General features: G+C 38.1%; 1 long non-coding RNA gene across 2 annotated transcripts in view; it reads left to right on the forward strand.

Moving 5' to 3' along the window:
- LINC02941 (long intergenic non-protein coding RNA 2941) overlaps nt 1–25,228 on the forward strand; it is a 117,403-nt gene that overhangs the window by 15,888 nt on the left and 76,287 nt on the right. The window lies entirely within an intron of this gene.

Here is a 25,228-nt window from a genome sequence, read left to right on the forward strand (position 1 = left end):
CTAGTTCCTAAGAAATTTATGTTATGTACAGGTGTATATGCTGGTGGTGGTTGCCAGTATGAGAAAAAAGTCTTTGTTTTCTGTTTGTAACATGGACATTTTGAAGAATGGATGCAGTATAAGATGCTACTTTAGCTTTCTATGTAGATATAATGAATTGGAGCATACATGGCTATCATGGCTATTTATAATCACTCCTTTATACCCTTGAAAAACAATTGCAAAACAATAACATACCACATATTCAGTGTTTCCTGATGTACAGAGTCAATGTAAGTTTCCTGAAGTGAACTAGTGTGCAATCTAATTAGAGTGCTACCCTATATCTCTAACAGTTAATACAGAAACACAGAGGATACGATCATACAGCATATACAGAATGTATGATTCCGTACGATATAGGGTGGCACTACAATTAGATTGCACACTAGTTGATTTCAGGAAATTTACATTCAAATTAAGGCCCTGTCTCTTTATGGCCTGAGCCAGAAGGGAGCCAGGCTCTGCCACCTGCCCAACTGGGCTTGCCAGGCACAGGGGACTAACACCATAGTAGGGCAACTTGAGTGGTAGAGCTTGTGGATGAGGTTCAAATTTGGCACCAGGGACTTCCAGTTGGGCTAAATGAAGCACAGAGGGGTAAGCTAGACTTTAATCATGTCTTGAATCTGTCAGGTTGGTCACATTTCAGGGATTCTTTTGATGGGTATGAAGTGACACACATTTCAATTGTGGAGTAGTACCTAGAGGGCAGGTTTTAGAGACAGTTTGACTTGCTTTGCATTGTATCCTGGATCATTCATTTACTAGTGATATGAGCTGGGAAAAGTTAGTTACCTTTGGAGCTTCAGTTTCCATTTTAGTAAGTGTCATAGGATTGCTATGAAGATTAAAGCATGTGGATAAGCCATGTAAAGTGCTTGAAACAGTGCCTACAAAAGGGTGAGCACTCAGCAGAGCCTATTTATAATGATGATTATTGTTGTTATATTTAATTTGGAGAGGCATAAATAACTGGCAAAAATTAGCAAAGTAATCAAGAAGGAGTATATGCTTGAGGCAAATTGGTTCTCACCAGGTTTTGAATGCTGAGATTATCTGAAGGACAAGACAGACATCCAGTTTACTTCACTGAGCCAACATTAAGGAACAAAGGGAACAGAAAAATTGGAAATATTAATACATTGACACTGTGGGTGAACCTTAGGGATGCCATTGAACAGACTCAGAGAGCAGTGTAGAAACTAGGAGGTTGTCTGGGTCTGGGGGCTTTGGTCTGATGGGGACTTATGCTGGGTCAAGTGGCCTGAGGAATACCACGGTTTCAGCCTGTGTGAGACGTGACAACCTCTGGACCTCAATTCTAGATTGGTCTGAAAATTGGGATAGAATAAACTTGTGAGGCCTAAGTGTGTGGGTCTGGGAGAAATAAGGCAGGGTTAGGGGAGAGGGGTTGAAAATGAAGTGCTCAATTCTTTTCTACAAACACTAATCACTGTAAGCCCTCACAGAAGGAAGAATAAATAAAGGCTTGGGTAGTTAACTGTAACTATGGAGGGATCAGAGCTGAATTCTTAAATGATGCATGAGATTTGTGGGATAACTAAGCCCAGGAAAAAGGGAAGGAAAAAGTGGTCAAAACCTCTGAGACTGGGATGAGAATGATATGTATTTATGAGTTAGTGAAACTCTGGTCTGATGAATACAGAATTGAGATGGCATGATCCATGGGTAAGAAAGACTAGATTATGAGCGTATTTTACCAACCAGGCATTGGAAAGTGGATATGAAGGGGAAGGCAGAGGGAGTCATTAATTATTCTAAACAGAAGAATGACACTGTATTAGTTTGTTTGTACTGCTATAACAGAATACCATAGACTGGATAATTTATAAAGAACAGAAATTTATTTCTTACAGCTCTGGAGGCTGGGAAGTCCAAGATCAAGACACTAGTAAGATTGGTGTCTGGTGAGGGCCCAGTCCCCAATCCTGACTTGGTGCTTTGAATACTGCATCATATAAAGTAGAGGAAGGCTGTTTCTCACTTGGCTGAACAAAAGACAGAGGGAACCCACTTCTTCAGGTCCTTTTTATAGTGGCATTAGTGAGGGTGGAGCCCTCATGACCTAAAGACCCTCCCATTAGGCCCCATCTTCCAACACTGTTGTAGTGGGGATTAAGTTTCAACATGAGTTTCAGAGGGAACAAAAACATTCAAATCACAGCAGACATATGACACAAAAAAACAGGAATAACACATACATAAAATAGTGTTCAACAAAAAATTACTTTGAGAGGCAGAAAGAGAATGGAAAAATCATTTTCAGAACACCTGCTATGGGTCGACATGACATGTTTGATGTAATTTCATTTATAATTACAATCTCATGTTTAGGTGTTAATGGGACTTTTTTTGCTGAAAAGGAAACTGAAGCTAAGAAAAGGTAAAGTAATTTGTCCAACTCTTACTAGTTACCACTGGTAAGAGGATGAGATTGGTTTCAGATCCAGGTGTGCCCGATTCCAAAACATGTCTTTTCTTGTGCCATGCAGTTGCCTACAGTAGTGTAGAGGAGGTTGGGAGAAGCTAGAATAATCCAGGCAATTAGGAACGCAAGTCCAAATAAAAAATAGCTTACCCCCGCCCCCCGCCACACTTTCTAGCATAGTTTATACCTCTGTTGTTGCTAATCCCATTCATCTTGTACTTTGGAGGTTCTTACACTTGTCTTATTCTTACTCTCCTTACTTCTGCTGTGTTTCTCATAGTTGTATTCCTGGTGCTCTTTGCACAAAGTGACTTAAGACAAATCATCAAAGGGTACTTTTTAAGTGGGATGAATGCACCATCTGTGGAAAGCAAGCAAGGAAAACTCTGGAAGCAGATCAATCTGGTTTTATGCTATAGATTCCTCACTTACCAACTTTGTGATTTTGGCCAAGACACACATTTTTTTGTTTTTGGAGTCTCAGTTCCCTTGTCAATAAAATGTATGAGAGTAAGACATCACACACTGAATTGTGGTGAGGAATGATGTCACATATGTCAATCAAAGTGCTTGACTCATATAGTGGAATCATACATTTAGTTTTCTTCTCCCTTCCTTTGCACTATTCCTTTGAATTGAACTATTAAACATTTCAGAGAGTATCTCATAGAAGAATATAAGCACATAAAGAAAAATAATAAAAAGTTAACTGCATTAAAAAATTCAAATAAATAAGGAGAATAGTTTGATTGATGATCATTCTACAAATCATGGTTAATGATGCTTTGTCCCAAAAGCTATGTTATTAGCTTTTAGGAGAAGCTTCAGTTCATAACCTGTACATTCATTAAACCCCAAAAAGGCAAATGGATTGCACTCAAAAGACAATAGACTGAATAAAATCACTTACTAAGGAACATTTTCTATTTGTGATTGGTCCATTTGGACCTCAAAGATAAAGGATACTAGTTATATACTCATTTATACAATGATGAGAATGATAGGTAATATAATGGATGAGAGAATCAAGATGAAAAATTATTTCAATTGGTTTAAATAATGGACCAAAACTAACAAGATAAAATTTAGCAGGAATCAAAGTTGAGTCCTACATTGAGGTTTATGCTATCAAATTCATATTACAGGAGAAAAGCGATATATGTAGAAAATAATTCATATGAAATCTATAAATCACATCTTAGTATTTTAGTTGACCAACACTAAATGAGCTTACCCTATGAAGTGATTGTGAAAAATAAATAGAGCATGAGATGGAGAGACTAAAAATGAAACTGAGTCTGGTGGAAGATATAAAAAGGGTTTAGACTATTTTTTCTAGTAGGAGTTGTCTTATTAATATCATCCAGTTGAGTACTTACTTATACCAATCCAGTATTTTAATTTTAATGTTTATCAATGTTCCTGAAGCTTTTGAGCTGATGAATGTGCTTCTCTCCATCCCTGGGCCCAGATCTACTCTCTGTCCACTTGCTGGATTTTAGTTGAATGCTCTGCTTCAGCTGCCCAGTGATGGCACAGTAGTTTGGGTTGTGAGATGCAAAGATAGTTTTTTGCGTGTGTGGGTATCTAGGGGTGTGAGATATGCCGTCCAGGTTGCAAGCATGGCAAAAAATTTCCTATATGAGATTGTCCAAATGTTCCAGTCATCTCTTGACTCAGACATCTCCCTCCCACTCAAGTCCCTGAAATTCTGTGGCTCTCTTTGGTGACTCTTGCCTACTCAGCACTCTGGGCCTGGAGAGTGCAGCTGTGAATGTTTGCTGCTTCCACAGTCACTGGCTCTCCCCCTGGTTAGATAAGCATTATGAAGCTCTACGTATACCCTTGTGATGGTGACAGCCATCACTACCTGTTTTGGTGCTTAACGTGAGGCACCCTTAATAACTAACTCTGGACCCTACGCCAGTAACATGCTGCCATCTAGAGTTTTGTGGTTTACCATGGAATGTCTACTGGTTGGCTGTAGCCACCTCTCCCCATTGCCCCACCTCATGACCTGTGGCTTTCAAAGTCAAACACACACAGAAATACATACACAAACAAAACCATTCAACATGACTTCTGACGTTTTTCAGCCTTCAGAAGAGAAATATTAGAATTTGATGAAACTCATTGATTCTCTCCTGTTTTTGGCTATCTTGTAGGGTGCCACATCTTGTGATCAGGGAGAGAAAGTCTTAGTATTATAGTTTTTTTCTCCTACTCTGGTAAAACAATATTAATATTTTTAGAATGCTGGTTGGGAAAAGATAATATTGATATAGAAGTAATTTACAATGAAGTTTTTCTGTTGGATTTGGTGTGATTATGTTCGTTGGGAGGGAGTGGGAGTACAGAGTAGTACCAAACTCCATGTACAGCACCAGAGTAATCCAATTCTGTAGATCTTCTTCCAAAATGAAAGTATCTGCCATATTCTTAAAGTCATGCACTTTCCTGGTGAAATGGGTAGTGGTGGTGGAGGTGGTGGTGTGTGTAATCTCTGTTCTTGGACAAGTCTCCTACTAAATTCCTTTGAGAACACTTGGTCAGGATCACTCTTTTCTGCTTTCTCAGCCAGTGGATTTCTGTTGTTCATTAGCAATCCTAAAATCAGGTTAAAGAAGCATAGATTACATCGGTGGACTTTTTTGAATTAATTTTTTATTGAACTCACTCATGATAATGCACAGGAGTATTTTCTTCCAGGGATTAAGGACAGATGAGCTGCCATCAAGATTATGGGATGGGGCGAAGGCCAAGCTCCCTGACAAATATTTGGATGAACTGAGGAGATTTCCCTGGTAGAAGTGAAGAAATGAAGACAAAGTAGACATAATGGCCTACTTTGTCCCCTTTTATCTGTAGTTTTGCTTTCCAAGTTTTTAGTTACCCATAGTCAACTACTGTCTGAAAATAGGTCAGTACAGTACAATAAGATAATTTCAGGACAGAAACAAAGACCACATTTACATAACTTTTATTACAGTATATTGTTATATTGTCCTATAGTATTACTAATTATTGTTGTTAATCTTTTACTTTGCCTAATTTATGAATTTAACTTTACTGTAGGTAGATATGCATAGGAAAAAAAAAGTGTATATAGGGTTGGGTACCATGCATGGTTTCAGGCATCCACTAAACGTCTTAAACATATATTAGGGGGGATTACTGTACATGAAGAGATGATGTGTGGAGTGGATTTCTGTTTAACTTTACAAGGCCCAACTCAAACCCGTAAGTAGAATTTTTAGTGAGGCAGCAAAGCAAGATTGTTATGGCTAAAGCTCTTAAAAATAAATTCAGTTGCTCTTGTGAAATGGTGGATTCCCAAACTCTGAAATGGCAGAAACAGAATTTTATGGCTACCTAACAGAAATTTGATAATAGCAAAGCTACCAGACATGCAATGGAAATTTCTTTCAACTTAAAGACTCTCTGATACCCTGTGGAACATTTGATCTAGACCCAGGGATGTTCTTTACAATATCTCTATTTTTCATTCGTTTTTAGAAGATTTGCTCTTCTTTCAACAATTCCTAGCCTTTCTTTCCAACTCTTAGTAGTCCACCTTTAGTGACATGAATAATTTAAATGACAAAGCTGATGATCTAATATTATACCCCAGCGATACATTTCTCAACTAGGCCTGTTTCTTTATTTTTGAAAAATGCAACATTACTGTCGGTAATTACTTTATGACTTGACCTTCTTCCTGGGTAGGAGGATGCTGAATAGGGAAAAGAAGGCATGAAAAATTTGTAAATAACACTAAAACTGTTTTTATGTGTTGATTCATGTATGTAGGGATATGTAAGTTTGCTATTACAACTTGTTAATTAGAAACACTTATCATTTGTTAACGTTTTATTATTTCAGTCACCTCGATTCACAGTTACATGGTAGATAAAGATTGCCAGGGTGATAAAACACAGGAGTTATTCCTAACATTAAGCACTTGTTAATGGAATAAGACATTCTGATGATGCAATTCTTTTTCGGAATTTGAGTGACATTGTGTCCGGAATTGGTGGGTTCTTGGTCTCACTGACTTAAAGAATGAAGCCGCAGACCCTCGCGGTGAGTGTTACAGCTCTTAAGGTGGTGCGTCTGGAGTTTGTTCCTTCTGATGTTCGGATGTGTTCGGAGTTTCTTCCTTCTGGTGGGTTCGTGGTCTCGCTGGCTCAGGAGTGAAGCTGCTGACCTTTGCGGTGAGTGTTACAGCTCTTAAGGCCGGCACACGTCTGGAGTTGTTCGTTCCTCCCGGTGGGTTCGTGGTCTCCCTGGCTTCAGGAGTGAAGCTGCAGACCTTTGCGGTGTGTGTTACAGCTCATAAAAGCAGTGTGGACCCAAAGAGTGAGCAGCAGCAAGATTTATTGCAAAGAGTGAAAGAACAAAGCTTCCACAGCGTGGAAGGGGACCAGAGCGGGTTGCCACTGCTGGCTCTGGCAGCCTGCTTTTATTCTCTTATCTGGCCCCACCCACATCCTGCTGATTGGTAGAGCCTAGTGGCCTCTTTTGACAGGGCGCTGATTGGTGCCTTTACAATCCCTGAGCTAGATACAAAGGTTCTCCACGTCCCCATCAGATTAGTTAGATACAGAGTATGGACACAAAGGTTCTCCAAGGCCCCACCAGAGCAGCTAGATACAGTGTCAATTGGTGCACTCACAAACCCTGAGCTAAACACAGGGTGCTGATCGGTGTGTTTATAAACCTTGAGCTAGATACAGAGTGCCGATTGGTGTATTTACAATCCCTGAGCTAGACATAAAGACTCTCCACGTCCCCACCAGACCCAGGGGCCCAGCTGGCTTCACCCAGTGGATCCCGCACTGGAGCTGCAGGTGGAGCTGCCTGCCAGTCCCGCGCCGTGCGCTCGCACTCCTCAGCCCTTGGGTGGTCGATGGGACTGGGCGCCCTGGAGCAGGGGGTGGCACTCGTCCGGGAGGCTCGGGCCACACAGGAGCCCATGGAGGGGGTGGGAGGCTCAGGCATGGCGGGCTGCAGGTCCCGAGCCCTGCCCCGTGGGAAGGCAGCTAAGGCCCGGTGAGAAATTGAGCACAGCGCCGGTGGGCTGGCACTGCTGGGGGACCCAGTATGCCCTCTGCAGCCGCTGGCCTGGGTGCTAAGTCCCTCATTGCCTGGGGCCGGCAGGGCCCGCCGGCTGCTCCGAGTGCGGGGCCCACCAAGCCCACGCCCACCCAGAACTCCAGCTGGCCCACAAGCGCCACACACAGCCCCTGTTCCCGCTGGCGCCTCTCCCTCCACACCTCCCTGCAAGCTGAGGGAGTGGGCTCCGGCATTGGCCAGCCCAGAAAGGGGCTCCCACAGTGCAGCGGTGGGCTGAAGGGCTCCTCAAGTGCCGCCAAATGGGGAGCCCACGCAGAGGAGGCGCCTAGAGCGAGCGAGGGCTGTGAGGAGTCCCACCGCTGCCACCTCTCAACATTTTACTCTTAACCAAGAATTGATCAATAGGAATCAAGCCTCCTAAATCCATTTCAGCCTTAAACATGCACTCAGAACTCAGCAAGTGACTGTAACAGAGGACTGTTTAGTTGTCTTCCTTTTTACTAAAACAAAATTTTACTTAGAAGGATGAAAAGAAAGGCAATCTTCCCTATAATATTATATTAAAGATAAATAAGAAAATCTAGAGAAGACAGAGTGGAAAATTGAGTCACTAACTTTTGGTAACATGAAAGAGAATATCATAGCCATTATGGCATATGGTGTTTTCCTATCCTGATATAGCATAAATTTTATGCAGCCATTGAAAACCCCCAGAAGTAGGAGGATATCTGACACTTTGTAGACACTCAATACATTTTGTTGAATGTTGAATAAATAAACCCAACTTTTATCACAGTTAAATTTTAAATTCTTTAGGAAATTTTCACCATTCTTGAAAATTTTAGGGTGACATTCTTTTACATGGGATGCAGAAAACAGACACAGTCGATTTTAAGACAAAAACATAGTATTCAAGTCATAATAGTAATTGGATTTATTAATTGTCATTAGAGAGTTGGGAGACAATCTTCATAGATTAATCTACCATAGTCCATGTAATTGTGGCTATGTCTTCAGAGTTAAGTTTTATATAGATAAATATTATATAATGTTGTAGCATTTGTACTATTGCATAAAATATGAGAATTTTAGGATTCTTAGTTTTTGCTATGTATAAATAACCTAGATGGATATTATACACCGTGGTATTTAATATTCCATATACTATGCTTGTATATTTATATATATTATTTAAAGAAAAATCTGAATTAAATAGGTGGCATGCCATATCTATACAAGGTAAGCATTATTTAGAACAAATGGAATGTTTATTTATATCCTTAAATCAGAAATCCATTAGGTAATAATTTCTGATTGATAGTCCAAACCTAGCTCGGACCTCAGCAGTGTTTGACCTGAATAGATAAGATATTACAACTCTCCAAATGTGCAGTTGGCAAAGTGCCCTGACCAAATTCAGAAAACATGCACAACTCAGGGCTATAAACATGCAGAATTCTAGAAAACGGAACAGAATTGCAATCAGGCAGCATGGATATATAATCTTGTTTTCATAGATAATTCATGCAGATAATTCAGTGACCTTAGATATAGGATTGACTACAGCATAAAATCATTTTTTTTCTATGTCAAAGTCTAATTCAAGGTGCTTGATGACAGAAAACATTCCAAATAAAGGTTTATAAATACAGAAAATAGTATTTTACACACAAACACATCCTCATACACACCTCAATATATTGAGATTGAAGACATTACAATATTCTTATTTTCTTGTAGTTTTATTTACCACTCGAGTACTCAGAGGTCATTCTGAGAAAATATCTTGGTTGTAGTTAATTTTGATTAATGGATTGTAGACTGAAGACAAGAAAATGCTTGTCTTTGGGATGTCCGGTTTGAATCACAAACAAATGTATTCCTTATCATCATTAATGCATATCTTTGCTGCTATTCGCTAGGGCTTTACATTTAGAATAGTTTGGAGCAAATTTAATTTAAAAACATCTATGTCATTGCAACAGAAATAATATATGATTTTCAGGACACATTCAAGGAAGCAGGGAGAAAAAGAGCAAGAGTGAGAAGGAGAATTTAGTAGCAGTTTAATTGCTTTCTCTTGTGTATTAATTCTAGGGTGTGGGGAGAGGGTTGGGGAAAGAGTGCGATTACATCAATGTTATGGGCTGGAAATTCTGCCACATATCCATTGAGAGAAAAATGCCTTACAAATATTTTTCGAATGATTTAGAGTTGGCTAAATCCAATGCATGTTTTTACCATGAATTTTTCATTTAAAAGGTTTTAAAAAATCATAGATTTTAAGAAAGAAAATGTAATCCATATGTTACTGATTCATTCACACTTATCATATTTTGCGTGAGTAAGCTGGTGTCCAAAAATGTTTAGTTTTTTAAATCAGGAAGTCACATTTTTAAAGCACCAAAAAGGACCTTGGACCTGGAAAGTTTCAAATTTCTATTTAAACTCAGAACCCAAGGAATTTGAGTGGGTTCTAAACTTGGCAATATGCCTTCATCCTAGTTAACGTATTGATGGAGTTATATATATTCGTGTACATGTGAGTTAAAAGTGAAGCTGTTAATTCTGCTTTGATATCAAAGCTAGATATATTCATTTAGACTTCCTCATTTGTTTGCCATGAGGAAACAATTCGTGACTTGTTTTATTATTTAAAAAATTTTGTATATTGACCTATATCTTTAAATACACAATAAGTGTTATCAAACATGTAACAAAGTTGGTGTATGGAAAAATGCATAATTTTCCCTAAGGGCTATTTGCTAATATGGAACACCGGCCTCTAAAATGTGATGAAAGAAGAACTGTGGAACAATGGGTCATGATGGCTAATTTTATAGGGAACACATGCATACAGTATAATTTAAAACACATGCCACAGCAGTTATAGTAAAAGAGAATTAGAAAGGAATTCTGCTTCATAAAAAAGAAAACAGTTCCCTCTTTATCCTGACAGAATTGCATTTCTCTTCTAGGAAAAAGATCCCATTCACTAATGCTTTAACAATTGCAGGGCCCACCCATAAGGTTCACATATATTCTCTCAAATCCCCTCCTCCAGTTTTGGCCTATCCGCTGTGATTTTGCAAAGATGTGATATGAAATTAAAGGCGAATAGTCTAATGTGCATCTGGCATCTTTCTAATGTAATATTTATTAATTGCTACTCAAAACTAAATATTGTGTGTCATCTATTACTCTCTCTATCTTAAACAATGGACTGTAGTGTATTAATATAGGAATTTTAAGGGAGAGGAACAGGTCATTTTGTCCATTCTTCTGTTTCTAAGCAGACTTTAGGCTTGCAGTAAAAACCTAAAGCAAGTTAGATGTTTGAGTGTACTATTTTGAAGAGCTTAGGAGTGGCAAGATAATAAACTTCTATGCAATTGGTTGCTAAAATTTTATCAGAAGTTCTTTATTCATACCTCCAGAAAGAAAAGAAAGCAAAGCAAACAAACAAACAAACAAAATCCCTTCTTTCTTTGTGAGGGTTAATTTGATGTATGTCAACTTGACTGGGACACAGGGTACCTAGATATTTGGTTAAACATTTATCTGAGGGTGTCTGTGAGGGTGTTTCTGGGTAAATTACCATTTGAATTGGTGGACTGAGTAAAGCAGATTGCCCTCTCCATGTGGGTGGGCCTCATGGAATCCTTTGGAGGCCCGAACAGAACAAAAGGCTGGGTAAGGGAGAATTTGCCCACCCTGTCTGTTTTTGAGCTGGGCCATTGGACACCCACACACAGATTGGAACTTGCACCATCCACTCTCCTGGTTCTCAGGCCTTTGCACTCAGACTGGAAGTACACTTTCCAGGGAAAGTGTACTGGAAGGAAGCTTTCCAGGGTCTCCAGCTTGCCAATGGGAGATCATGGGATTTGTCACCCTCCATAATTAGGGAACCAACTCCTTATAATAAAAAATCTCTCTCTTTTTGGATAGAAAGATAGATATCTAGATAGCAGATTGGTTCTGTTTCTCTGGGGAACTCTGACTAATACATTTTTACTGTGATTGAAACCTATTTCTCCTTCTGTTATTCAATCCTTTATAAAGAAGAACAATTTGCTAGTAACCTCATTATAAAACTCTTCATATTCTTGAAGATAAATTGTGTATATTGTTTTTAAACCACAAGCCTCTAAACCAGAAAAAATATTAAGATAAGATTTTGACTAATATTTAAATTGTGCCCTGTGGTTAGGATGATGCGATTTGCTTTTAGTTAGAATTAATCATATTGTGCCAATAAATGCCCCTCTTGCTGGGTTAGTTTCCCCAGCATTTGATTCTCATCCATCTGACCTATATTGTCGGTAGCTCTCCGACCAGCACGTGAGTATGAGCCTCCCCTGCCTCCCTTGCTTTCAATATCAATATTGTGTCTTCAAACAGGAAGTGGATTTCATGCTCACTTGCTGCTTTCCAATACTAGTCCTAAAGTCTCAGGTCTTTAATTATGACCAGACCTTTTTCTTGCAGATAGGAAAGACATTGAATTTTACTATTCTGTTAATCAACTGCATAACATTATGGAACTATTATTATTGTTTAAGGAAATTCTTGTTAGTATAGAAGATTTGTAATAAGAAAGTAAAAATTACGGAATTACTTATTTGAGATAATTACGGCTAAAATTTTTAATGTATTTCTTTTCAAGATTTTTCTATGTACATGGTTTATCTTAAAGTGATTAATATTGTTTTAGGCTCCTTCAATATATCAAAGTATTTGTTTTTCCATGCAAATTAAATATTTTAGAAAACATCATTTTTAATGGCAGTGTAATATTTCATTTACTTAAAAATTTCTTTATTGTTAAACTCTTCAATTCCTTTCATTTTTTAAATCATTTGTGGAGTTACAGGATTAAAGAATATAAAGCTCTTTTGTCCTCCTTAATATCAACAAATTTGTTTTGAGAAATGTTGCACAATTTATTCTTCCACACAATGTATACATATATAGAGGCTGTTTTGTCACACCCTTGCAAGCACTTAATAAAAATAAATAATCTTTTAAAGATAATTTCTATTTCTAGTTTTAGAAATGAAAATGTTATCTTTCTGTGTATTTCTTTAATTGCTGGAGAGATAGAATAACTTTTCAAATACTGGTCATTTTTACTATTCTATAAATTTTGGATTCATGTTTTTAGAAAATTTTTCTATTCATGCTTTTATGTTTTGACTTATCTATTTGTTGATTATTTGTGTGCCTACATCTATATATCTCATATATACACATATGTAATGTTTATATATATACGTATTAAGTCCCCCAACTGTTTTTTTTTGTATTTTTATTGCTTTTATTCTTATTATAAAAGTAATACATACTATCTTAAAAAGTGTGAACAGTATAAAAATATACAAATGAGAAAGAGAGTCTCATGTAATCTCACTTGCAAGAGGCAACCACTGATAACAGTTTGGGGCACATTGACCCAAACTTTTATTTCCTAACAGTGTTAAATGTTGGTGGCTTCCAGCTTCATCCATGTCTTTGCAAAGGATTTTTCTATTCATGCTTTTATGTTTGCTTTTCTGTTTTGACTTATCTATTTGTTGATTATTTGTGTGCATACATCTACATATCACATGTATATACACATATGTAATGTTTACATACATATATGTGTGTGTGTATATATATATGTATTAATTCCCTTACCTGTTTGTACTGGCATTTTTTTTGAGAAATTGACGGTCCTCATTTATATGAAGTACATTTTATCATCTTTTTCCTTTGTGAGTGTTTCCATTGGTTTCATGTTTAAAAAGGCCTTTCTTGGCAGTTTTTCATTTTACTGGCACACTTGTTATATACTTTTCACTGTTGATCACAGGCTGGACACTCCCCAAGATCAAGGACATTAATTTACTTATTTATGTATCCCCAGTACTCATTGGACTAGCAGAATGCCTGGATAAATACTAATATATAATTACATTTTTGTAAAAAGCCAAAAGCATTGCCATGGCATTTTCCTCTAGTTTTTGAAGAATGGATAGAATTTCATTATTTAATAATTAAATGGCCGGTGCGGTGGCTCACATCTGTAATCCCAGCACTTTGGGAGGCCGAGGCAGGCAGATCACCTGAGGTCAGGAGTTCGAGATCAGCCTGGCCAACATGGCAAAACCCCATCTCTACTAAAAATACAAAAATTAGCTGGGTGTGGTGGCAGGTGCCTGTAATCCCAGGTACTTGGGATGCTGAGGCAGGAGAAACGCTTGAACCTGGGAGGTGGAGGTTGCTGTGAGCCGAGATCGCCATTGCACTCCAGCCTAGGTGACAAAGCAAGACTTTGTCAAAAAAAAAAAAAAAGAATTAAATAGGGTCATTGAAAAGCTATAATAATCAGAAGGAAAGTAATAGATAGAGGTTTACTAATATTTTGTTGAATGGCTAAATAAAAGATAAACTAAATTGTAGAAAAATCAGAATAAATATACTTTGAGTAAATAGTTTTTATTGTTTTCCGAATTTTAATATAATTAACTGAAAGTGATTTATAAACTAATTATTTACAATATGTAGATTTGTATTACGGTAATGTGTTGGGGGCAGAATTCTGAGATGACCTTCAAGACCCATCCCTCCTTACCTCTTGCCCCCTACCTGCCCCCTGCCTCCTTGTCCTGTATCATCTCCCTCTCTTCAGTGTGGAAAAGACCTGTGAATATGATAGCTGTCACTCTCATGATTAGATTACATTATATGGCCATGATGAAAGAATTTTTCAGATGGAATCAGGTCCTTAAGCAGTTTAAAAGAAGACAGGCTTTCGTTGAGATGAGACATTCCATCTCCTTTACGCCTTGAAGAAAAAAGCCAATATGAGCTCTAGAGCTGCAAAGAAATGTATTCTACCAACACCATGTCAACTCGGAAGAGGATCCTCCACCTCAGATGGGGCCACAACGCTGAACAACACCTAAATTACAGCCATGGGAGATCCTAAGCAGAGGATCCAGATAAGACACGCTCAGACTTCCAGTCCTTGGAAACTGAGATAAGCCAGCCAGCAAGTTTCGTAATTCTTATGCAGAAATAGAAAACAAATACACTTGGAAATATCTATCATGTGCACTAGAAATTTTGTAAACCTTTTATCCAAGAGTTTGACTTCAAATATAACCTAAAGATTTACGATTTCTACTTGGCCATGAGAACGTTGAAGTGTTTGTACAAGTGAGACAAATCAACAAGCAAAAAAACAACCGCATTAAAATATGAGCAGGCCGGGCGGGGTGGCTCACGCCTGTAATCCCAGCACTTTGGGAGACTGAGGCAGGTGGATCACCTGAGGTCAGGAATTCTAGACCAGGCTGGCCAACATGGTGAAACCTGGTCTGTACTAAAAATACAAAAATTAGCTGGATGAGGTGGTGCACGCCTATAATCCCAGCTACTCGGGAGGCTGAGGCTGGAGAATTGCTTGAACCCAGGAGTTGGAGGTTGCAGTGAGCCCAGATTGCACCACTGCGCTCCAGCCTGGGTGACAGAGCAAGACTCCATCTCAAAAAGCAAACAAACACACACACACACACACACACACACACACACACACACACACAAGATAGCTAGCGTCTCACGCCAGTCACAATAGCTCTTATTAAAAAGTTAAAAAACAATAGATGCTGGTGAGGAGAAATGGGAATGCTTATACACTGTTGGTGGGAACATAAATTACTCCAGTCACTGTGGAAAGCAGTCCAGAGATTTATCAAAGAACTTAAAACAGAGCTGCCATTCAACCCAGCAATTCCATTACAGAATATATATCCAAGAGAAAATAAATCATTCTACCAAGAAGATACGTGCACTTGCATGCTCATCGCTGTGCTATTCACAATAGCAAAAACATGGAATCAACCCAGGTGCCCATCAATGCTAGATAGGATACAGAAAATGTTGTACATGTATGCCATGGAATACTATGCAGCCATAAAAAAGAAGAAAAAATCATGTCGTTTGCAGCAACATGGATAGAGCTAGAGGCCATTATCCTAAGCAAATTAATGTAGAAACAGAAAACCAAATACCCACATGTTCTCACTTACAAATGGGAGCTAAACATTGAACACACATGGATATAAACATGCTCAGAAAATTTGAGCACACGTGGATATAAATATGGGAACAATAGACACTGCGGACTACTAGAGGGTGGGGGAAGTAGATTAAAAAACTACCTTTTGGGTACTATGTTCATTACCAGGGTGACAGGCTGTGCACTTCAAACCTCAGCATCTGCACATATATCCCCTGTATCTAAAATAAAAGTTGACCTTAAAAAAATAATTCAATAGAAGCACAATAGTTAAATACTGGGCTTTAGGACTAGAGATAGTATATTGATATATGTATCTGTTGCCTCTTCTTTCCCAGACTCCACTGCAGAAAATAGATGAAGTTTAACACAGAAAAATAGATAGAATGTCATTGGAAAATAATTGCAAAAAAATTTGGAAAATAGAAAACAAAGAAAGCATCTTGAGAGACAACCAAGAGGGTCACAGGTGTCAATGTACTAGGTTCTGAAGAACCCTGGCTTTTCCAGTAGCTTCTCTGGATGCTAGAAGTCAAGCAATTAATACCTTCAACAGTTGAATAAAAGACGTTTTCTATATGGAATTGTATGTTTGACCAAAATACATAGAAAGGCAAAATAAGCAGTTTAGACATCAGATGACCCTTTCTTACATAGCAACTGGACAATGTGCTATAGCAAAATGAAAGAGTTAAAAAGAAAAAGCAAGTTATAGTCATTAGAGGACAGTGAACTCCAGGAGAGAGATGAGAAGTAGACTCAAGTAGCAGCTTTGCAAGAGACCTAGAGAGAAACCAGTCCAGACAGAAACCCCAGAATGGAAGGCTGTAGAAGCAAAGCCTGCAGGAGAAAACAAAGGAGTAAGACTTGTTAGAAAAGATAATATTATGGATTATTTGGAATAAAAGAACTATGTATGTGTACCAAATCATGTAAGTGAAAGAAATATAACATTTATTGGTTAGAGGATTGATTATATAAGTTATGGTAAATCCATGACATAGAATACTATGCATCCCTTAAGAAAAATGAAACACATCTATATGCATTGATATGGAACATATCCAAAATACATTATTGATTGAAAAGACAAGGTAAGAAACAGTACATATTTTAAGCATCCATTACTGGTTTTTAAAAGATGGATACACAAACTTCCATTATTAACTTCTATATGCAAAGACTAACTCTGGAAGGGTATGCAGTAATTTGGTAATAATCGCTGTGGTTAGGGGAAATGGAGAACTGAGGAAGGAGGGATGGGAGGAAGGCTTCCTTCACCTGCAGACTTTTAAAAATCATTTGTTTATCATGTACATGTATTGCCTATTCTAAACAACCTGAATTTTTCACCATGCATATATATAATCTATTCAAATTAATGCACCCTCACCCCATCTGGTCCTTTCAATTTCACTTACTCAGCTCCACTTTTTCTTTTTTTTCCATAGGACTAACATTCTAACTTATTTTATAACTTATTTATGAGTTATATTTTTATTCGTTCCTTATATCCTACTGCTAGAGTATAAATCCCAGAGAGTTTGGACTGCTTTGCTCTTCATCCCAACCACCTAGAGTGGAACTTGGCACACGCGGAGTAATCTGTAAATATTTGCTGAATAAGCATTTAACAAATATTTACAGAAAAAGGAGAGACAACATTGCAATATTGGTATTGTACACACATAGGTAGTGATAATGGTTTTGAGAGGAAGAGTTTGGTAACAGTGGGAATGGGAAATAAGTCTGTATTTCCCTATTAGGTATAAAATTTAAAGGGAAAGAGATACTATAACTCTCTAGAAACAGAAATAGAGATGTCTTGCAAGAGGGAAGTGGTAACTGAGCAGAAAGCCTTCAGCTGGCACTCAAAGCAGACATGAAAGACCCCTATAGCAATGAGCTCCATGAATGAACTGACAAGAGTAAATGAGAAAAAAATTAATAAACACACGGTGTATTTTAATATTAAAATGATACAACAGAAAACGATATTGTAGATTCTCTGTAAATTATAAGTAAAAAAGCATATAACAAAATAGAATTTCTTGTTGTATTTTTAAATTCAAGTTTTAGAAGTGTAGTCATGTATAGATAAAATATAGGGAGATATTATATACACAAAATAGCAACAGTGGTTATATCTAGGCAATAACATACTTTTAATTTTCTTCATATTACAGTGTTTTCACTATGAGACAAAGATTGTAAAAATTGATATTTCTTTCCCTATAACATGGGTGGAAATAAATGTTTATATTTATTTTAAAAGCAGATTAATTAAAATGCCTATTTTTGTAACCACGATTTTAGTCTTTGTCTTACAATATTTTAAAAATATATAAGTATACAACATACTTGAAGACCTATGCTTTTAATATTACTAGAATCTTTGAATATCAAACCATGCATTTACTGTGGTTGAGAACACCAGACAAATGGAAAACAATTGCTGAAAACAACGTATTAAGTGTATGTGACAGTAGAATAGTATAGATATGTCAGATTTTTCAGCAAGGAAAGATCACTGTTGCCTAGAGGAATATAGTAACCTTGAGGAATGGGTAATAATTATAGGAAGAGAAAATAATTTATCAAGTGGGAAAATGGCCATGAGTAAAAGTACAGAGTGAGTTAGGGGATCCTTTTACTCTTAGATCAGAGACGTGGATGATAATGGTAGAATAGTTTTAAATTTTCAGAGTGGTTTTGTGTCAGATGTAACATAAGCAGGGTGAAGTGATGGAGAGCAAGGGCTTTGGAGACAGATTAGTTTTCAAATCCTGGTTCCACCATGACATGATGTGGCCGAGAGAAAGCCAGCTTTGAAGTCAATTAACCCTACAGGGAGGGTTGCTATGAGAGAGTTCAAGGAGGGAACGTGGGGAATCACCCAACCCTGTTTCTGGCACACCACGGTTGTTGAATAGCAGTCAGTTCCTTGCCTCTCCCACCCTCCCACTCTCACAACATCCATGTGGAGGAGACAGGAAGAATTATCAGCCTCCTTTTATAAGAGGACAAACCGAGTCCCAAAGATGTTAACTTATTTACAATCACTGACGCTAATAAGCAGTGGACCAAGATCATCTGACTTTCAGCTCAGTGACAGTGGCTCTCCATAATGACTAAATCTCTACATGAACACCAAGAGAATCATTATGTGGGATTTTAGTTTTAGTTGAGGTCAGTTGTTTCATTCTCACAGGGCTTCATACAATGTGATATGTTATTTTCTTTGATGGATTTATCATGATCCAAAGTCTGTTCTTCAACTTTGTAGGTTCATGAACATGATTTTCAGGGCACACAGAGTATATTAGCCTTTCTGGAATAAACTCACATTAATTAATTTCACAAAGGAATTTCCTTGAGAAGACTCTTTCTTAAATATCTCTGCAAACCTAGATAGGATCTAGAATGAAACAGTCAGTACACTTCATAAAACCAGAATGCTAATTTATAAATTTATCCTACAAATATAAATGTCTAAAGTCCTAGATACTTGAGCTCCTTGAAAGAAAAAAAATCAAACATATAAAACCAAATAGGACTCTGAGCACACCATGCAGGGCAAAGAACATTGCCTGGAATTTCTGTCCTGCATAGCCCCACACACTTTCTCCTACTTAAGAATGGCTTTGCATATTCACCTTGTCTTCATTTTATGGTTTAACTTTCAAATGGCATCTTTTTTTGGAATATCTATGGTGTGTTGTGCTGTCTGACCTCAGTCCGATGCAGTGATTTCAACCTTTTTACCCTAGAAAGCAAACAGTGGGTGACATTCGCTCACCAGGATCTTATTTATAAAGCCTTCCGTTCTCTCTCACTCAGAAAAGGATATCAGAAAGCAGATAAGTGGGAGTGATAGTTCAGGATAACCTTGACTTCTAACTCACAAACAAAAGTAAATCATTTGCTAACTTTGAACTATTAATAGTAACAAATTACTTGCAACAGAGCTCAGGACAGATTGTGAGGCACCCTTGGATCTTGACCTCTGCGCCTAGTGGAGAAAATAAGTGGTTGTTTGCATCTCTTAAATTTCTCATATTGAAAAGAATAGTAACACACATAGCACATAAGCAATTTGTAATTTGACTTTATGACGGAGAAAGCAAATTTTATACCATGAGGAAGACTTCTGTCCTTAAACTTTTAAAGAAAGCAAGAATTGCATCGACTCTTTGCTAGTGGGCCATTTTGTCTATGCCTATAAAGGAAAAAGAGAGGCATATAGATTATTATTTAAAAAGATCATGAGTCTATTTATCTTAAAAAATAAAAAGAATAAAGAAAAGATAAAAAAAGAAAAGGAAAAAAGAAAATAAATAAGCTCTAAATTCCTAGGTTCCTTAGGCTTTAAGAAGACTAAATATAAACCCATAGCTTACTTTTTTTCCATTAAGTAAAGAACTTCTAATTCTAGCACAAGTTCGAGCTATGATGATTTAACTTTAAGCAGCACTTTGTGCTTTCTCATCCTCTTCTTGTATTTGTGGGTCAAAAGAGAAGTCAGTAGGGACTTGTATTTCCTGTCTCATCTTTTCCTTCCTCCTTTCTTAAAACATTGTGGGAAATCAACTTTATAAAACACTGAGGAGAGCCATGTCCATTAACTTCTGAAATGTCTGCCATAATTCTTTTCTATTTCCAAGTAGACTTTTCTCCCAGGGCATAGATCAGGATGAATTGTAGTATATATGGGATGTATCACTATATGAAATATTTCATTATCTTTCTCTTACTTGAGTGTTACTGTTTATAATATTCTGATCTATTTATAATCATTTCTTTGCTACTGTCTGTTTGCTCTCCATTCCCTAACACATTGATAATTCCTTTGAGAGGAAATTTAGGTGAGATTTGTTTTTTTTCTTTTCTTTTCTTTTTTTTTTTTGAGATGGATTTGTTTTCTTTCTTTCTTTTTTTTTTTTTTTTCTCTGTTGCCCAGGCTGGAGTGCGGGCGCGATCTCAGCTCACCACAACCTCCGCCTCCTGGGTTCAAGTGATTCTCCTGCCTCAGCCTTCCAAGTAGCTGGGACTAAAGACGCATGCCACCATGCACGGCTAATTTTTGTATTTTTAGTAGAGATGGGGTTTCACTGTGTTGGCCAGGCTGCTCCTGAACTCCTGACCTCGTGATCCGCCCGCCTCGGCCTCCCAAAGTGCTGGGCTTACAGCCGTGAGCCACCGCGCGCCTGGCCTGAGATTTGTTTCCTAAACCTCATCACTCTAGGTATCTGCATCTGTACCTTCTGCAGTTTCCTTTTTCTTTTTGAAATGTAAAATATTTTATTTTGAATAAGGAATCTTTTCAGTCAAGAATGCAAACATTAAAATTTCTTTTCATCTCAAGCACACAGTATAAGATTTTTGCCTGTGAAGTAGTGGGGATCCTTGGCCTTTTCATCCCCTTCAAGGTTGATTCTTCTACTCCAGAGTCTGGGCAGATGTGGATGGCTGAGGGGTGCCATTCCCTCATGGATATTTCTAATAGTTAATGGAATAAATTGTGTCTTGCTAGGATTTTCTGGAACAGACACTAAAGAATAGGAAGGAATGTTTCATTAGGTAAGACCAATTATATGTTTCTCTTTGATAGAGTAAAAAAGGTAATAATACATAACTGAAAAGGCTGAGGATTTTTTTTTTTTTTTTTTTTTGAGACAGAGTCTCGCTCTTTTGCCCAGGCTGGAGTACAGTGGCACGATCTCGGCTCACTGCAAGCTCCACATCCCAGGTTCACACCATTCTCCTGCCTCTGCCTCCCGTATAGCTGGGACTACAGGCGCCCGCCACCGCGCCCAGCTAATTTTTTGTATTTTTTTTTTTTTTTAGTAGAGACGGGGTTTCACCGTGTTAGCCGGGATGGTCTTGATCTCCTGACCTCGTGATCCGCCCGCCTAGGCCTCCCAAAGTGGTGGGATTACAGGCGTGAGCCACCGCGCCCGGCCAAGGCTGAGGATTTTAATGACATTTTCCTCTTCATTATATTCTGTATTTTTTCTTTTTTAAATAGGTAAGTGTTCCCTGACATGAATGAATAGAAAATCAAGGAAAAATTAAGAGGAAAAATTATGGAAGGCACATGATGGACCAGGTTCATTTCTGCAAGGCAGGGTGAGAAGGTCTACATCTTCAGATGCTTAGGAGAAATACGACTCCATATGTAAAGTCCACCAAGGTGCTCAGTGAACAAAAGCTGCACCTATTGCTTAAGAAGAAGAAAAGAATACTGAGGTTATGAGTTTCTTTTATGATAGTTATTGTTTTACATGACGTTTTTTTTCCTCCGTTTCTAAGATATGAGAAATATATGACCTTAGAGTTCAAAGTAACCAAAGAAATTATTTAACCATTCAACTCAGCACTTGCTACCAGAGTTTCCCTGATAGAGACATCACCATGACTTTAATTTAGCCTAAGGATGGTTCTAATGAACTTGCACAGATTTGTAGGCAGCATCTGTGAAGACGAAATTTAACACCACACTAACCCTAAGCCATAACTGTTTCTAACACTGTGGCAGTTTTACTAGAAAGGTGGGGACCTTGAGGCCAATCAGTTCCTTCCCTGGCTCTCATCCAAGTCAAGTTCATGCGTTAATCCAAATGTAACATATCTGACTACCAATCCTTGTTTTTCCAGTTATCTTGATCCTCCCTCTTGACTCTTCCCCTTGACTCTGCATGCAACTGCTCCTAAACATTTTTGCCCTCTGCCATCTTAAATCTCTGCTCTTTCACAAATAAATGGATCTCCTACCTCTACTCTTCAGATGGTACTCTCTCCTTACCCATTCTTACAAAACTCTGGCTTTCCCTCAAGGCCGCTGTTTCTATTACAGCTGTTTTCAGGGACAACTGCTTCTTCTCCCATACCCCATCCCTTTGTGGCCTCTTTGTGATGCTTATGACATGAAGAAAGCTGATCCAGTTGTAATACAGTAGGAAGTAGTGGAGGATGTGACACACTGGAAAGCATATGCCTCATGTAAATCTAGCAGCTGCCTTGGAGCTAGAGGAGATTTTGTCATTCAAGATTATAAGCAAATTTTTGCTGAGATCTTCCCCTTCCTTCCTTCCTTCCTTCTTTCCTTCCTTCCTTCCTTCCTTCCCTCCCTCTGTCCCTCCCTCCCTCCTTCCTTCCTTCTTTCTTTCTTTTTCTTTCTTTCTTCTTTCTTTTTTTTGGAGTCTCGCTCTCTTGCCCAGGCTGGAGTGCAGTGGTGTGATCTCGGCTCACTGCAACCTTCGCCTCCTGGGTTCAAACGATTCTCCTGCCTCAGCCTCCTGAGTAGCTGGGACTACAGGTGCATGCCACCATGCCTGGCCAATTTTTTGTATTTTAAGTAGAGAAGGGGTTTCACTGTGTTAGCCAGGATGGTCTCGATCTCCTGACCTCATGATCCACCAGCCTCGGCCTCCCAAAGTGCGGGGATTAGAGGCTTGAGCCACCATGCCTGGTCCATCTTCCAATATTTCTACAAAAGCCAGAAATTCAAGTTTTATTGGTGATATATCTCTTTTTTAAATATTGACAACTAACTTAAAATGAATGAACGCTATGGAATAAAGTTATCTTTAGATTAGATATGCTGTGTTGCATGCAAGCTTGTAAACTTTATTCTACTCTTTCTTTAGCAACTCTCAGTATATTTTTTGTCTATATACCAAACCCTTCCTCTTTTGAGAATTATGAAATCTGGCTTTATTAACCTCAATTATAATCTTGACACATGGAACGGTCATCTAACTACCTGCAGTTTTTGACTCCATTCATCTCATTCTTCACTTGGCATGCCATTTCCTTTCTTCTATAGCTAGCATTAGAAAACTTTTTTCTGTAAAAGTCCAAGAGTAAATATTTTTGATTTTGTGGTCTATAAGATATATCACAAAAATTCCACTGTGCCATAGTAGCATGAAAACAGTCACTGGCAATATAAAAATTAATGAGTGTAGCTATGTTCCAATAAAACTTTATTTATAAAAACAGTTGGTGGGCTGGATATGTCTGTGGGTTATATATAGTTTGCTGACCCTTAACTTGAAGGATGAAGGAGTTCCTTAGTATGGAATATAAAAGCCGACATGATTTGTCTCCTGTCTACTTGAAATTTTCAGTTTTATCTCCCATTTCTGTTCCTGTGAGTTAACCAGCCATGATAATAAATCACAATTATCATTTATTTAGCACTTTCTATAATGTAGGTACTGTACTAAACTTTTAATCCATGCCATATTAAGTTGTTTAATGAGAACAAAAGATAGGAGCTAGACACCTTAATTTTATAGATGAGCAAATTGAGCCACAGGGAGATTAATTTATTTGTCCAAGATCACACAGACAATAAGTAGGAAAGCTAGAATTTGAACCCAGACAGTATAGTTTCAGTTTCATGCTCTTAACCATTATATTGTCCAGTCTCTCTGAGGTCTTCCCCTAATCCTTGTGACGAAGAAGATCACACCATTCTCTTCTGCACATACTGCATACTGTCTCCTATCTTTGGTATTCCCCCTTCCACATCTGCCTAGAAAAATTAGATCAACTACTTCTTCTGTTGGCAACTCTTCTGTGGCTTCACATCTCCACACTGACAAAGTTTTGATGCTCCTCGTTCTGTGCATAATAAAGAGTTATTTCTGCATATACTTATTTCTGCACTAAAAAAGTCAGTAGTCGTCTGCTTTTGGAATTAGTGGTCTTTTTAGAGATCAGTTTATGTCTTATTTATCTTTACATAGTTCCTGGCACAGTAGGCACTCAATAATTGCTTGCTGAATTGAATTGAATGGGTAATTTATCCTAGGGTTTTTACTGTTTCTGATGTATCAATTGGTTCTTTTTTTGGTGGAGATAGGATTAGAGTCTTGATTTGAGTTTTCTCAGAAATCAATCTTGAAACATAGATTCATGTGCAAGTAACTTACTTGAGAAGAGAAGAAAACAATGGTAGGAGAATGGGGAAGTGAAATAATGAAGGAAAAGCAGCCAACAAAATATGCATTATCAAGGCACCTACCAGTGTGGTCCACTTGAGCTTGATCCCACTGGGCAAGCTCTGAAAGTTAGTTTAGAGCAATACTTTAGAGTTGTTCTACCCAAGGGGTAAGGTTGGTGGGGTTTTTATATACCAATTATTTGCATTAATTGGTCAAAGCCTATTCCCGGGGAAGTTAATATTCAAGCATATACAGAATGCTGCACAGGTGGGCAAAAGGTTGGCTAAAGAAAAAGTCCTTAGGCGAAGAAAGCAGGTGCTGGTAGCTGCAAGTCCGGCCAGTGTGCACTGATCGGGTGAGGGCTAGTGTATATGGGCAGGGTGCCCACAGCATCTGTTTCCAGCTTCTCTCCAAACTTCTGAAACTGACAGTAAGATGGAGAAATTATTTCTCCCTTTTTCCACTTTTGCTAAAATGAAACTTTTAAATGTATCTATAGAGGTAGAATCTTTCATAATTATTACATTTTGCTCTATTTGGGGATGCATACAAAGAAGTATCATTCATATCATTTTCAGACCAGGTGACCTCTAGTGTACTCTGGCAAGTATAGTCTCTGCTTATCCCTTGGGATTGTTT

This window comes from Homo sapiens, chromosome 6 (assembly GCF_000001405.40).
Source record: "Homo sapiens chromosome 6, GRCh38.p14 Primary Assembly".
In the NCBI taxonomy this organism is placed as follows: domain Eukaryota; kingdom Metazoa; phylum Chordata; class Mammalia; order Primates; family Hominidae; genus Homo; species Homo sapiens.